Source organism: Homo sapiens, chromosome 3, assembly GCF_000001405.40.
Source record: "Homo sapiens chromosome 3, GRCh38.p14 Primary Assembly".
Lineage (NCBI taxonomy): Eukaryota > Metazoa > Chordata > Mammalia > Primates > Hominidae > Homo > Homo sapiens.
Genome location: NC_000003.12, coordinates 115,472,070 through 115,489,746, shown reverse-complemented (window position 1 = coordinate 115,489,746; position 17,677 = coordinate 115,472,070). Strand labels below are relative to the sequence as shown.

Sequence of the window (17,677 nt, the reverse complement as noted above, 5' to 3'; positions counted from 1 at the left end):
TAATTGTGTGAGCATATTAAAAGTAAAATATTGATATAAATACAGGAAATTTTCATTTTTTGATTTGTGATATGCATATTTGATAACGGGCCTACCCCCACAACTTGTCTTTAAGTCCCATGGAATACAGAAATATTTACAGGGGTCCTAAGCAGTGGGCAGATCAAGCAAAGCTGAACCATTGTGAAGCTGGTTTATTAAAGGAAGAGTAGAGGTGGGGAGAGGTCTGAACCTCGGGAAAAGCCTTTCCTCCCAGCATCTATCCTAGACCCAGACCATCAACTAGTGTTTCACTTAGGTTAAAAAGTGCAAATAATTTCGGGAATTGTTAAAGCCCAGTTTTTAATAATTTAATGTGAATTAGTGTAATTGAATACTTTCAAGAATGAACTGAACTGAACTCCGAATCTCCTTTTCCAATCTGTTAAACCCCTACCCACTGGATTAAAGTGAGAAGATAAAACAGCTTATTCAAAATAATTGAACAGTAGGCACCTGTTGTTATTTTCTTTCATTTCCTGAGATAATTTAGCAGCCATTTATCCACTCAGTTCAGGAGTTTACTTTCAAATTTTCTCTCTACCAGGAGAAGAAAAAGATCAAGCTTCACCAACATTTGCGGCCATCATGAAGCTAGAAATTTAATGGGTTACTGGAGCTTGTGGGGAGCTAGTATGTATTGTGAAATTGGCTTCGTTCAAAGCTGATTATAAAACCATTCCTGCTCCCATCCCGCCTCCTGCCCTCACCCTGCCACCCAACACATACACATAAATCACAACTTTTTCTTCAGCTTTCATTTAATCAATCATATTAGTAGCCCTGAAAATAAATTAACTTGCTGATTTACCAGGGGTATAAAAGAAATCAAGTATGAAATAATCTTTTTGAATCTACGGATAGATGGGCAAATGTGTGTCTGAGTGTGTCTGTGGCAGTGGGGATGAAGGGTGGAGTTCTGTATATGTTTGTTGTATTTTTCATTTAATAGGAACATTAAGGGGATAGAGGAAAGTAAATTTGACTTCTGGAAATAAAAGCAACCCTGAAAACTGGGAGTGAGACAAATGCAAATTTGATAAACAAAACAGATTTTTTCCAGGTTTAATTATTTTAGAGGACCATATAAAATGCTGATATGGCATTTTTGTCTTGCAAGCCCCCTTTAGGGCCTCTGCCTTCAAACAAATAATACAGGACAAGCCTATCAAAAAAGAGGCTCAATTCCAGATTTCTACCTTAAAAGAATGGAAATGGCAGGATTGTCATTTCTATTTTATCTCATGGATATTATTTGCTGCCAAAAAGCTTATGCAAAAATAAAAATAGAGTGAGCTGGGGGTGAGACGGAGAAGGGCCTCACTTGTTTTGAGTGCCTATAGTGAACCAGTTACTACATTGGTATTTTGCATGCATGTTATCCTTTATCCTGGAATTACTAGGCTGATAAAGAGCATGAATGATTTGACAAACTATGTGCTAGCAACAACAATCTAGAAGTGACATTAGCCATGAAAGCCTTCATGATTTTGACATTTAACATCCAGGGCAGGTCCTGTGTGGCTAATTAACAACTAAGGTCATTCTGACACTGTGTGGGCAAGTGCCTTCTCACAGCTCATCGGGATTATCCTAGGTCATATATGCTGTCTCACACCATGCATTAAATCTCTGCAAGAGCACATAATTTCCATCTTTGAAACCTTTACATTTATTTAAAATCAACACAATAATAATGTTTCTCTCAAAAGTAGACAATCTTAAGCCAGCTTTTGTCTTACTCCCACATTTTCTACTATTTGGGTATAATTTCTACTGTCTTTTTGTCATGTGATATTAGGTGTTAGATTAAAAATATAATCACACATAATTTAAAGTCTGGCTAGAACAGCAGAATTTATGTGAAGACACTGAGCACAGTGGAGCATTCTCAGAGGGATGGAAAATGGCTGACGTGTGGAAGCTGAACATAGCGGAAAAGGGATGCAGGAAGTTATTCACATGATTGAAATCAAGGAAGAGCCTTTAACCTGATAAACTAGGATTCTTTTCTCAAACAAAAAGCATGACCCAATTTTGTTTTGGGTTGTTGAGATCTGTGAGAAATTGCATTTCAACTTGATAACTTGGTAGATGGGAAAAGAAATTTGAGAAATTATGGGAATAAGGCAAGACTTCCTTTTAGTTCCTTTTAATGCCAATATTGTCCCTAATTGTTTGATGTCAGTTCATGCTAAATGAAAAAAACTGCAGAAAACAAAAATAAAAAAAGAGATTTGGGGATGCAGCAAAGACTAATCATAGTCCTGAGAGCTCGTAGCACTACCAATAACAGAAAGAAATGTATGCATTGGAAAGGTGGAAACAAAGTCCAGCATTGCAAAGTGCAAAGTCAAAGTGGGTGGAGGTAGGAGGGGAGAAATGCGACCATCCTGAAGAGGTTAATTTGGTGGCTATGCTAGGGAGGTTTTATTTTATTTCATTTCATTTAGCTTTTAAATTAATTTAATTATTTTTGCTTAGACTTTGGAAAAGAAGATGAAAAGAAAATTTGAAAACATCCTTTCTGAATGATGTCCTCTCAGGGTTGGGAGAGATCTTAAAGGAGAAGTCAGTCCTTTAAGTTGTGACACTGCAGCATTGGCATTCTTTCTCCAGGACTGCTGACGAAGGGACAGCTCCTACCTTGGCACTTCCAGGGACTGTCACATTGTCGTTGTTGTTGTTAGAAAACTCTTCCAGAAACTGAGTTACAATTTTTCCCTCTCACTTCCTATTATTGATCTTCATTCTGTCTTCTGGAGCTACACAGAATAATCACAATCCTTCTTTTCCAGGGGAACAACCCAAACAACCTTGGAGAGAAAAGTCAAGGCAAAATAGCAAAGTGATGGGACTGTCACTATTAAAGAAGGATTGTGAGGTACTTTCTCAGGTAGATCTAACTTTGAAAGGGAGAGCTAGGAAAGATGCACGATAGAAGGAGAGGGAGCTGAAGACTAAGTCAATTTCCAAATGAAGAGAAATTACAATAAAACACACGAGCAAAGTGGTATTCTTATAAATATGAATCGGAAGAAAGGAAGCTGTTCCTAGCATGAAGGATGTAGAAAATAATGCTTGGAATCTAATTGGAGAGACAGGAAAATATATAATAAGTATGCATAATAATACAATGCATTGAAGCTAAGATTAAACTACAGCAGATCACTGTCATTAAATCATGATTCATGTGGTTACTGTTGTACTTTTAGGTTTTGGAGTATAAAAAGATGGTCTAAACCGCATTCAAGCTTCATTCTGTAGAAGGAAACAAATGAGGAGAAATTAGGCAGCACTATCAGCATCTCCAAGGTAAGAGTAAACCAGTGTGGCCCCTATGATCTCCACTTCATGGTAGTCATGCTTTTGTGCATGTAATCTTCTATTCCTTGAGTGTAGGTAAGACTGTGACTTTTTTCTGACTGATAGAATACAGAAAAGGTAACGGGAAGTATGTAATTATGTTATGTAAGATTGGTATGCCTGTCTTGCTGGAAAGCTCACTTTACCCTGGCTTTCAAAAAGCAAACTACTGTGTTGTAAGCTGCTCCCTGGAACCCTCAGTCTAGCAGTCCACAAGCCACTGAATGCTGTGCACAGCTATATGAGCAAGCAAGTAGACCCTTCCCAGGTTGAGTCTCAGATGAGACCACAGCTGGCTGACACCTTGATGGCATCCTTCCATAGAATCCTGCTAAGCCATATCTGGATTCCTGACAGAATCTGTGAGATGATAAATGTAAATTGCTTCAGCTTCAATGTATGTAGATTGTTGTAATATTATCACATAACAATGGGTAAATAATATTGCCAGCTCAATACTCTTCAGGCAAAGGAGCCACAGGAAGAGTAGATAAGTATTGGCAACTAGACTGTGTTCCCAAGCAGAGAATTGTGCCTTATTCTGGACTACACTATTCTGGACTTCTGCAGGAACATTTAGACAGATCTTTTGCTATTAATACCAAATATATGATGTATGAATGCATATCTTTGTGTTCATTTAGCATATGGAATTTTCCTACTTATAAATGTTCCTTCTGAGAATGGGGATATTTCATGGACAGTCTTTTATTAAATTTTGAAACCCAGCTGGTTGGGATGGTTTCTACTCTTTTTTACAAAGCTTCAAAGGACTGGAAAAGAAGTGGGCAGTAAAAATGAAATCTTTTCTTCCTGTATGGAGATTAGAAACAACTTGTCTATCACCTGTAGTTTTCTTAGAAGCTTCAGGGTAGAGAAAAATAAGTTAAAAAGAAATTGAGTTCCAGTTGCTTCTTATCTCACCCCCATGACCATGGAAGCCTCAAAAGAACTGAGGGATAAAGAGAATAACTCTTTATTAAAGCAATAATTTCAGGAAATTGAAATAAAAGACAGCAAACGATATTCAGATTTGTTCCCATTTTTCCTTAACCCACAGAAATTATTATTGGTAAAACGTCACCACTAATTGGGAGAGAAAAACTGTTATTAATTGAGCTTATAGTTTAGTGTTTGATAATGATCTGCTTTAACGCATTTCTCTCTATGACAGAGATCACTTAATTTTTGTCTGTAAATTCAGTTTTTTATGGGCATCCCACATCTGAGTCTAAACATAAAAGCAGTCCCACCACAGCTCCCTCTCTTAATCTCAACCTAATTTCAATGAAATGAGGTTTACTATTTCTATGTGCCCCAGGCCCTCTTTTGTATTCAAGGAACTTGTGCCCTTTCTTGCTTCTTCTCACCCTCTTTACTGTTGAGTTCCCATCTTCAGTCTTCCAGGAAAGTAACGGTCCCTGTTAGCTACCAGAGGGCATTTGGGAGCCTGGAATCCTTACCCTAGACTCTAATGCAGGCTGAGTCCCCAGTCCTCACTGCTGGTTCTTCCCAGTGACTTCTGCTCTGCCTATGCCTCCTCCTTGCTGTCAGCTGTTAGACCACTAACCATCTGCCCCTAATGTTCTCTCCAGCTGAAGCTCTCCCTAGATTGCCCAGCCAAAAAATCAAGCTTCTAGGGTGTGTGGTCATTCATACATTGCAAGTTATTCAGAGAAATAAAGCAATTCATTTCACAATACTATTGAAAACATATTAATCTCAAATACTTTCAGTTTGACTAGGGAAATTATGTTAGGTAAAGAGTGCCTCACAGAACTTAAACCATTCTCCATTAAGAAGAAGCATGATGTAGTAGAAAATTCAATGGCTTTGAAGTCAGAACTGGATTTCAATTTAGGTTTTCTCATTTACTACAGGATCTTGGCTTAATCATATTTTTTTCCCTGAGCCTCAGTTTCATCATGGGGTAAGATAATAGTTTCAACCCACTTTACCTGAAATGTGAAAATAAAATCAATTATATGTAAGTGCTGTGTGCAAGAGACTATAAATTTTATGTAGAATAAATTAATGTTACTAAGAGAGAGGAGTAGTATGTTGAAATAGTGTGAGTCATTCTTTCCAGTCTTTTTCTTCAGTAGTTTAACTGAGATATAATTTACTTGTTGTAGAATTTTCCTGTATAATTACAGGGTTGTATAATTAACACCAAAATCTACACTTAGAACACTTTAATCACCCCCAAGATACCCCATGCCCACGAGCAGTAACGTTCTAGTCCCACCATCCTACTTTCAGCCCCAGGCGAGCATTAGTGTACTTTCTGTCTCTATATTTACCTATTCTGGACGTATTCTGGTTATGTGATCTTCTGTGACTGGCTTCTTTCATTTTAGAATAATGTTTTTTGTTTTTGTTGTTGTTGTTTGTTTTTTTAAGTTTGTTTACATTGTAGCAGGTATCAGTACTTCTTTTTCTTCAAGTTATTTAAAAAATCATAGTAAAATACCCATGACATAAAATTGAACCTTTTAGCCATATTTAAAAATACAGTTCAGTGGTATTAAGTACATCTATATTGTTGTGCAACCATTACCAACATATATCTCCAGAACTTTTTAATCTTGCAAATCTGAAACTTCATATCCATTAAATAATAAGCACCCATTTCTTCTTTCCCATAAATCCCTGGTAATCACCATTCTATTTTCTGCCTCTATACACTCTGTGTACCTCATGTAAGTGAAATTGTACAGTGTTTGCATTTTCCCAACTGACTTACTTCACTTAGCATAATGTCTTCAAGGTTATCCATGTTGCAGTGTACATCCGAATTTTCTCCTTTTTAAAGGCTGAATAATATTCCAATGTGTGTTTACAGCATATTTTGTTTATTCATTCATCCATCAATGGGTACTTGAGTTGCTTCACATTTTAGCTATTGTGAATAATGCTGCTTTGAATATGGGTGTACGAATAACTCTTCGAGACCCTGTTTTCAATTCTTTTCAGTATATGCCCTGAAATGGAATTGCTGAATCATATGGTAATTCTATTATTTTTGGGGGAACTGCAAAACTGTTTTTCACAGTAGCTATATCATTTTATGTTTTTATCAACAATGCACTAGGGTTCCAATTTCTCCATATCCTCACCAATATTTGTTATTTTCTGTTTTTGTTTCTGTTTTGTTATTTTGTTAGGATGGCTAATCGTAGCCATCCTAATCTGTATGACGTGGTTATATCATTGAGGTTTTGATTTGCATTCCTCTAATGATTGGTGATGTTGAGCATCTTTTCATGTGTTTGCTGGTCCTTTATCTATCTTCTCTTTAAGAAATGTCTATTCAAGTTCTTTGTCCATTTTTGAACTGGGTTTTTTTTTTGTTGTTGTGTCTTATGAGTTAACTGGTAGTTCATTCCTTTTATTGCAGAGTAGTATTCCATTGTATAGATGTACCACATTTTGTTCTCCATTTCTAGTCTTTTTAAATTAGAATGCCTTTTATAGTGTTAGTGTTAACACAAAAAGATGGCCACTGAACATCCTCATGTGACCATTACTGCAAGAAAACCACTCATTCAGTCAACAAACATCTGTCAAACATCTATAATATGTCGAGAACTGTGCTAGGCATACGATTTTCATAAGGACATGGATTTTAGGCCATAATATACACAAACATTCGAACATTTCATGCTTCTCAGGACTTAATACCTGCAAGGATATAGTTTAAACACAGATTGATATTATCACACACTCTTTGAGTAAAACTTTTCTAAAATCTAGAGAAGAAAATGACAAAGTCTGTACCAGATTCATCAATAAATTGCTGTATGTTATAGTACCTGCAAATGGATAGACGAAAGCATAAGAAAACGTCATTATAAACTTTGTGATATCTGCCCGAGTTTTTACCAAAAGGGTGAAATGATAAAAAATAAAACATTGCAATTGTAAAACATGTGAAATACTATAAAAGATAAATAAAAGATATAAAATGTAGTTTCCTGAGTAGATAAGTCAGATAAAAGTAGACCATCATGAACAAAGCCTTCATAATAATCAGAATGTGCAACCATTTTTTAATGATATCATGCAATTAAACAGTTTAAGAAGACCCAAATATAATAAACCCCAAAGTCAATATACTTGTAGATATTTTATATTTATATTTATATAATGTCTTCGATAACTCAGCAAAGTAAATTAATAAAACAAGGAGGCTCGCTCTCTCTCATAAAATAAAAGGTTATTTACCAAAAACAAAAAAGCATAAAGTAGCAAAAACAAAAAGGCTGATAACTGATGAATAACCCCATTACACACACACACACACGCACACACACACAAACACACACAAACTCTAGAAGTACATTAACATATTCAAAAACATTGCACATGCTTTCCTTTTTACCACTCTCTATACATATGTTGTGTTGAGTCCACCTCTAAATAGAAAGTATTTCATCTTTCTATTTCTCTCTGGTTTTTTCTTTTCACCTTAGTCTGGGACGCCATCAATGCTCACTTGGATTATAGCAATAGCTTCTTACCCATCTCCTTGCATATTCCATTTCACAGTAGCGAGAGTTTTTATGTTGCTTCTTTTGTTTTGTTGTTTTGTTTTGTTTTGTTTTTTTGCTGTTTTTGTTGTTGTTTTAAGACAGGTCACTCTGTTGCCCAAGTTGGAGTGCAGTGGTGCAATCATAGCTCACTACAGCCTTGATCTCTTGGGCTCAAGCATCCTCCCACCTCAGCCTCCCAAGTAGCTGGGACTATAAGCATGCACCACCACACCTGGTTAATTAATTAATTTTTTATTTTTTGTAGAGACAAGGTCTCCCTTTGTTGCTCAGGCTGGTCTCAAACTCCTGAACTCAAGCGATCCTCCTGCCTCAGCCTCCCAAAGTGCTTACAAGCATAAGCCACCACACCTGCCCAAGAGTATTCTTAAAATGTAAGCCAGATCATGTAGAGTTTCTGCTTGAAATCTTTCTATGCTCTTGTACTTTACATCTTTTCTAATGCTCTATGCCATCTGGCCCATGCTCCCAATCTCATCTTTTGCCTCTCTTGTCCCTCTCACTTTGCTCTCCAGACTCCAGCTATGCTGGCCTTCTTTCAGTACCTCAATACCTTGGATCTTTTGCACTTTCTTTTCTTCAGCCTGGACTGTCTGCCCCTCCCTACACTTTCTATGATTAGATCTTTCGGATCCCACTTCTTAAGAGAGGTCTTTCAAACTACTCTCTCTGAAGTAGCAACCCAGCACTCATTTATTTCTAATATTAACAAAATATTGCTCTCCTTTTTGACATTTATCCCAATTTGCAATTTTTGTCATTTATTTGATTAATTTCTTTATCATATGTAATATCCTACTAGACTATTACTAGACTATATGCCCCATAAGACTGTGTCTTTCTCATTGACCATTGAATGCTCAGAGCTTAACACAACATGTGGCATAAAACAGATATCAATAATTATTTATTAAATGAATATTTAATGGTGACTGTGTTATCTGGGTTTACCTTCCTCAATATTATAACCACATTTTTTATAACATCTAAATCAGACAGTGCCTTATTCTCAGACATTTGTATTGACAAATCCAGATAAAACCAACTCATTTGGAGACTCTGTATCTCTGCTGACAACCAAATTATTTGTGTTTCATAAGATAATTATTCTCTATGATTCTATACTTTAAAGCAAAAACATGGCTGAAAAAGCATTTGTCCCAAGAATTAAAAATCCATAACATAAAACTATGGAGTATTAGAATTAGCTGAAAGGCAGTAGGTCATCTGCCCAGTATGTTACTCAGTTTAGGCAAGGATCATCCCTCTGTACATCTCTTGCAAAAACTATCAAGCTTCGACATTTGCTAGATTAAAAAGTTTATTAATTCACAAGACAGTCTGAGGTCCAATTCCTAGAAAATTCTTCATTTACTTGATGACCGTACCCACCACTAGCCCTTGTTCCATCTTCTGAAACATCACAGTAGATATGCTCTTTCACCTCATGGCATCTTGGTTTTTTGAAAATAGTTTTAATATAAGTAATGACAGCACTAAGACTACATTTACCTAGATTTCAAAAGAAATGGCATGTTCAGGACTTGTGGTTCAAACACAGGGCACCTTAAAGGTACTGGTCTCTGCACAAAATAAACTCTGTCTCTTCTGCTCCCCATTTCCCATACAGTCTTCCATCTTAGGCCAGGGAAGAAACTGGTCTATTTTGTGATGATACCCGAAATTGAGAAAAATATATTGAATGATTGAGGAAGGCTGACTTTTCAGAACACAATAAGGCTATATAATAAAGATTGGACAGAAGCACCAACTAAAGAGAATGACCAACCCTAGAATGGGACTGACTTCTCTATATTTCATGTGTTTTAATCAATAAATTTAGGCATTTTGTTTTTATTTTTTTCTAACTCCTTTACTGTGAATTACTTACCAGCCTACTAGGAGATGATCATTAGCTTAGAGATTGTCACTTCATAATTCTATTTATAATAAAAATGGAAAACTAACAAAAATAAGCTCAATTAGTGAGCTTGTAATTATAAAAATAACTTTTTCTCTTAAAATTATGCTTAAAAATATTTTAGAAGCTAATGAAGGGGGGTGTGTATTTAGATCTATATCTTATGTTCCTAAACAATTTAAATGACCTGTAAGTGACAGTGAACAGAAGCCACAGAAGGAGTCTTGCATTCCATATTTCGCCATATTTCAATATTTTCCCAAAGCTACACATATTTCATGACTCCAGGACTTTTATACTGATCTCTACTTGTTGTTGTTAGCAATTGAGACTGAATTGTGTCATGATCCTTTTTACCTTTCAACCAGTGAAGACTTCAAGTTTCCTCACACAAATTATAGAATGACTTCTAGATATATACTACAAGGAAGAGAAGGTCATCTTTTTATTTAAAAAAAAAAAGACAGCAAAATCTTACTGACTCAACGTGTCTGGAGGAAAGAGAACATGAATTAATATACATTGGTGAATTGTACCATATAAGGAAACTAAGCTTTATTGATTTCAATTGTCTAGTGAATCTGAAATTTAGGAACATATTGCCAAGCACTGGCCCCACTGAGATGAATAAATTAAATTTGAAGAATGCTTTATGATGAACATATCAAACCCCAGCACACAGAGCTTTGGTTTCTCTTTATTTCTCAATTACATTTATTTATAAGTAAGCTGCCCTCTCAGTTCTCTTAAATGGGTAAATCATCTTTTCAGCTGAGTGTTTACTTTTGTCACTTTACTCCCCAGCTTACTCTCTTTATGAAGAAGAAAGACAAATTTTCCTAGCTGCAGTCCAGTTCATAGAGAGTTAGACTTAATGACTTCTAAGAGCCCTCCTAACACTGAGACACTGTAGGTACGGTGCAGCAAAAATTAATGAATTTCTACTGGTACTCACAATCTGAGTTAAAACATTCTTCCGTATTTGCTATGACTAAACATTTCTTCAGCACCTATTTGTGCCCTTTAGAGAAAAGATTGGGAAACTTTTAAAAGTTGTTAAAGCAAACTAAATATGGCCTGAGAAGGACTCTGTACTTCTATATTTGATGCCTTGTGGATGAACTGCAACCTAACTTAACAAGTAGACAAGACTGAAAACCTAACTTAGGAGTATGTGCCTGTAACAATAGTGGAGTCTTGGCCAATCCCAGCAGCGGTACTTCAACCACTGATACACTGCTGAGTGTTCAAACTGTGTTCAAATAAGCCAAATGCCAACTTCTGACCAATCCAGCTGTTCCTGCACCTCACTTCCGAGTTCTGTATGTCACTTCCCTTTTTTTTGTCCATAAATTTGTTCTGACCACAAGGCATCCCTGGAGTCTCTCTGAATCTGCTGTAATTCTGGGGGCTGCCTGATTCGCGAATCACTCACTGCTCCATTAAACTCCTTTAAATTTAATTGGGCTGAATTAACTTTTCTTTTGCAAGGCCCAGAGAGTAAATATTTTTGGCTTTGTGTGCCATATAGTCTCTGCACAACCACTCAACTCTGGTTGGAGATCTGTTGCCCTTTTTTATACACTGTTCTTTACCTGGATAAAGGCACCAGGATAAGTTTGCTTCCACATTATTATTCTTTAAAATTAGGACTAGTTAGCAGTTTATAACAGTCCTTCCAGGGTTTGAAATCTGTTTTCTTGTTTTATTTTCAAAGTTCAAAACACTTTTTAAAAGTTTTAGTTTCTTTTGGACGTTTGAGGTTTCTTCTTAAATGTGATGAAATGACCACATTGTAGAGGCTGACTTTGGAATCTTAGTAATATCATTGTATGAGTAAACTGGACCTATTAGTTCATTAGAACTCAACCTATTCAGTTCTCCCCATATTTTCCGTAACGTCAAAGTTCTCCTAACAACTCCCAAATGCCTGTGTCCTTTACTCTTTGTTCATGATCATTTCCTTGAAGATGACTAGACTAGCCCCTGTAAAACCTGTATGTTACAATTCAGTGTAATCATACTAGAGTTGTTGCAAAGGAAGTCCATCTAGGGCAAATATTTTCGTCAGTAATGAGAGTCTACAACTATTTCCTAGAAGACAAAATAACAGCAGATGGAGAGGCCACAACTGAGAAAACAGCCTTTTAAAAAAAATTTTACCTTAGAATAATAGATGAGTCTTCATTAAGAATGTTTGCAATGCAATGTGGTAACTTCATTAGCGAAGAGTATACAGAACAAGACTGCTATGCTAGCCCTCAGTGGCCAAAAGAGAATGAAGCCATAAAGCATATATGTATATATAAATATGTGCACTGTGCTGAGTGAACTATTATATATGTGCCAATTTCATTGGAAATTATTTCAGAAATATATAGTGTTAGATCAGCACTGTGCAGAGGTAAAAGGAACATATATATTTTGTGAAAGTCATCTAATACAGAACAAAATCTTTATACTCATGGAACTTGTAATACAGCAGCCTTTAAAAATGGGGATAACATATTCAAATATATATAAACACGTATTTAATACTTCAGCAATTTGTGGTCAGCCTGAATATAACCTTTTTTGAAAGAACCAACCTTAGAACACTAAAGACTTGATTTGTCAGGCCTTCTTTTCCATGGCTTTGCTTATATTTGCTCTCATTTAGCTCTTTGTACTGTTTTGGAAACATAATAGTTATTCACTGAATATGTATTCAACATCTGTCTTGGCATTTCCCTCTACACCAACTTCCTCTCTCTTTCTCCCTCTTCCTCATTTTCCTTAATTTTCCCTTTCCATTTCTACTTTCTTTCTGGGTATTGTTTTGTTTAGTTTGACACTAGAGTGCAGTGGCATGATCAGGACCCACTGCAGCCTTAACCTCCTGGGCTCAAGCAATTTTCCCACCTCAGCTGGAACTATAGCTGCTCGTTTTTCCATCTCCCTTGCTCTTATCTGTATGTCTTTCTTTTTTTTTCCGAACTTTAAGGCTAAACAAAGAAACTGAACTATATTTCTAATTACTTCTTGCAGGTACTGAATTTATTGTCTGAACTCTGTTTCTAATTTTGAAGTAAATGATGATGTTATATGTGTGTATCTGCACATATATACATACATACAGACACAACCACATACATAGTCATTACCTATGTCACTTAACCTATGTGTTCACATTATATGTGTTGCTTAGCAACAGGGACACATTCTGAAGGATGCACCATTAGGTGATTTTGTCATTTTATGAACATCATGGAGTGTACTTACACAGACCTAGATGGTATACTCTACTATACACCTAGGCTATCTGGTATAACCTATTGCTCCTAGTCTACAGACATACACAGCATGTTACTGTACTGAATACTGTAAGGAACTGTAACACAGTTACAATTCTATGTTTAGATTCTATGTATCTAAACATAGAAAAGGTATAGGGAAAATACCCTATTGTAATCTTATGAGACCACCATCATATATGCAGTCTGTCATTGACTGAAGCATCATTATACAGTGCACGACTGTGTATATAAAATGTTATGTTTTTCTTTAAAAACAAAGGCAACAAAATGGAGTTAATTTTATGTATGGGGCATTCCTTTGTGGTTTTTGTTTTTCATATTGTTTCTTCCTGTGGTCCCTCCCCTAACATAGCATCTTAGCTATTCAGCAATAACACCTTGACCTATGAATCTGCTCCTGACCTTTCAAAGATCAATACATCTCTACATTAGCCATTTTTTATCCTTTGAAATGAATGGAAACTAATGCCAAACTTTCCCTTTGCAACCATAAGCATTTTGGGAAGGTGAGAGGAAAGAACTGTTCAGTCTTACATTTTACACAATTAAACAATCTGCCACCTTGGCACAGTACACCAGGAAAATATATCATACCTCTGAATGGTTCTTTTCTAATGTCATTATCTACTCCAGCCACACAGCATCCAAATACCTCCGCCATCAGGAGAGCCCAGGCCCCTTCACGTAGTATAGGGCTCTATGACATTACAATACTTCTTATCTCACAACCTATTTCTGGGCTTATTTATATGCATGCAAAAGAGGGTTTCTGTCCTCTGGAGAGCTGGCAGGCACCCTGCGGTCTGATTCCTCTTGTCCCTGAACATTAGACACTCTGTTGCCAATGAAAAGCCGCCAGAGAAATCATGTAGATCGACAGTCTTAGAATTTCCACTTTTATCTCCGTCGATTAGCATGTTTTTTTTCTTCCTACTGTCAGCACGGAAAGATGACAAGTTAAGGAAAATGTAAAGTTAATGCTGATGGAAAGGCAACTTAGAAATAGAGAATTATACAGCTCAGTTTTCAGGAGCAAAAAGACACATTTCTACCGCTAGTTTCTCTCCCACAGAAGATTACAGAAGTTCCAGCAATATCTCACCTTCCTATTGTCTTTGATTATGAAATAGGAGGTGTGTTATACTACAACACTTTAATTACTCTTTTCAGTGCCAAAGTTCTTAAGCTAGGGACCCATGTTAATTGCCCTCACATTCCTGCCTGAATACTCCCTGCTGTGTTCTTACCCCTTCTGTGTTATTGAATTCTTTCTCAAGTGTCACCAGTGACCTCCTATTTATCAGATGCAGTCTCTCCTCAATTTTCATCCTCCTGGCCTCTTTATGGTTTTTGACACTGTTGAGCACCTTCTCCTTCTTTCTTAGTCTTCTCTTGGTTCTGTGACACTGCACTCCTTTGTTCTCCAATCTTGGCGAATGATTCTTCCTTGTCTTTGTTGCTGGCTCTTCTCCCTCCTCCCACAACTACAGATTTCTTCCAAAGCTATGATCTCAGTCTTCTACTCTTCTTCATCAACAGTTATTCCATCTTCTCATCTTCAAAAACCATCCATATATATATATATATATGTACACATATATATACACACATATATATATACACACACACATATATATATAACACACATATATATATATAGCGTGATGTTGGGCAAGTTCCTTAACCTCTCTAGGCATATATATATATTATATATATATTATATATATATACAGATGTATTATATATAATATATATATAATATATATATATATAGCACTCCAAGCACTGGAGTTGGGATTGTGTGTATATATACACACTGCACTCCAAGCACTGGAGTTGGTGATTCGGTGTATATATATATATATATATATATATATATATATATATATATAGAGAGAGAGAGAGAGAGAGAGAGAGAGTGTGTGTGTGTGTGTGTGTATGTATATATATACCCGCACTGGAGTATATAGACCCCACCAATCACCAATTCCAGTGCTACTCATCCAAACTACAATATCTTAATTCAAACTATGTAACAGAGCATATTTACTTGGATATAGAGCCACTAACATCTTAAATTCAACTTAATGTCAATGTGCTTAAAGGTTCCCTACTTATTTTCCCTTCTCTTCTCCCATTTGGTGCACTGTAATGTTTAATTTTATGTTTTACGTTGACTGGGCTTAGGAACACCCAGACAGCAAGTAAAGTATTATTTTGCAGTATGTCTGTGAGAATGTTTCAGAAGAGATTATCATTTGAATCAGTACACTGAGTGAAGAAGATAAGCCTCACCAAATATGAGTGGGCATTGTCCAATCTGTTGAGGAACTGAATAGAACAAAAAGGCAGAGGAAGAGTGAATTTGCTCTCTTCTGGAGCTAGGATATCTGTCTACTCCTTCCCTGGGATATTGGTCTTCCTGGCTCTTGGGCCTTAGGACTTGGACTCAGGTTTGCTCTATTGGCTTCCCTGGTTTTCAGGTCTTCAGGCTCGCTCTGGAATTATTCCCAGCTTTCCTGATCCTCCAGTTTCAGGCAGCAGATAGTGGGACTTCTCAGGCTCTATCATCACATGAGCCAATCTCTCATAATAAATCTCTTCCTGTATATCTATCTATCTCTTATTGGCTCTGTTTCTCTGGAGAACCCTGAGTGACACATGCACTCTATGTCTCCCCCAAACACCATCCACCAAAGGCACCGTACCAAATCATCTCTACTACATCCTGCAAATTGCTGCCTTAGTTTAAGGAATTCTATGACACTTTAATGCCAGCTTCATAAATTCAAACTCTTTAGGGTGACTTCTAAGGCTTTCAACATATGATGTTAATCTATCTAATCTTGATTTCCATGACTCTTCAACATGGGCCATAATTGTTGACCAAGAAAGTCTCTTCAATAGGCATATTGAAGAGACTTGGTAAGGCTACTCCACCAACCTCTACATCAGTTCTGATTCTCCAGCTTTTGTTCTTTCCTTCTAGGTGAAACTACTTTGCCTAGTCAATATATCTATTGGCTGATTCTAATTTCTCATAAGACAGACAGTTGTGTGATAACCAAGTATCACCTGGCAATAATCAGCGATTTTCTGGAGAGCCATTGTTTACTAGTGTTAAGAACTGGCCTTAAGGGTCAGTCAGGGTTGTGTTGAAACCCCTGTTCTGTTATTTACTTGTGATGTGATGTTGGGCAAGTTACTTAACCTCTCTAGGCCCCTGTTTTCTCACTTGTAAAATGAGAATAATATACTACCTACCACCCAGGTTATTGGGAGGAATACAGGAAATAATGCATATATTCCCCTTAGAAATAACCCTTTAGCACAGGAACCTCCCCTCAGTAAGTGCTCAATAAAGTCAGCAATTATTATATTTTTTTAAATTATACTTTAAGTTGTGGTTTACATGTGCAGAATGTGCAGGTTTGTTACATAGGTATACATGTGCCATAGTGGTTTGCTGCACCCATCAACCCGTGATCTACATTAGGTATTTCTCCTAATGCTATCCATCCCCTAGCCCACCAACCCCCGACAGGCCCCCGTGTGCGATGTTCCCCTCCCTGTGTCCATGTGTTCTCATTGATCAACTCCCACTTATGAGTGAGAACATGTGGTATTTGGTTTTCTGTTCTTGTATTAGTTTGCTAAGAATGATGGTTTCCAACATCATCCATGTCCCTGCAAAAGACACAAACTCATTCTTTTTTATAGCAATTATCATCTTAAATGTATCTGTCTTCACCCTGCTTCACCCAGTTTTATAATTTGTTTATTTCACAGATCAATTCTATGTGGGACTGAACATAACAATTAGCATTCTTTGGAGACTGAAAATGTACAAATGCTGGATGTTAATGAGTTGCTGGAGACTGAAAGGTCATACAGGTGCAGGATGGCAGGCAGATGTTGGCACCATAAGGGTAGGCTCTGTCTCTGTTTTGCTGGTCATTGTATCTAAGGTGGGCACAGTGATTCAAAAATGGTTAGCTCCTCAGACCAATGTATTGAATGAACTACAAAGAATCCCCAAATCTGAAATTTGAATTTAAAACTTAATGAATTCCTCAAGTTACGGCTTCTAATTAATGCATTTCTGCTAAGCCAAGGGGAGCCCCTTGAGAAACTGGTCCAGAGTTCTTTCTCATCGTGGATCATAAAGAGCTTCTCCCACTGGGTGACTGAGTGGATGGGAGGAGTCACTGGATTTATGTTTGGGATCTTCATTCACTAGCTTGGCTTCTGACTTCCACTGCATATTGTTAAGAGGTACTGCTTAAAAATAGTCCAGCAGTAATGTTTTATAAATGATTACTAGTTTCAAGTAGTTTCTTAGGAAAGAACATGATGCAACCACAGAAATGTATGTAATAAATCTTAAATGATTCTGTAACATGTATTTTCATCAAAGTATCTTCAACATCAAAATTAAGATAACAAGATATTCTCATTGCTTTTCTAATTATGTGGAAGCAGCACTTTCTTAGTATCCTCTA

At 36.7% G+C, this 17,677-nt stretch overlaps 1 annotated feature.

The window, feature by feature from the left end:
- Positions 14,106-14,667: an enhancer, noted in NCBI's record as "NANOG hESC enhancer chr3:115193927-115194488 (GRCh37/hg19 assembly coordinates)". NCBI's record gives its function as "activates a minimal SCP1, AML or CMV promoter by ChIP-STARR-seq in naive H9 embryonic stem cells {active_cell/tissue: H9 hESC(naive)}" and the evidence as "EXISTENCE:reporter gene assay evidence [ECO:0000049][PMID:30033119]".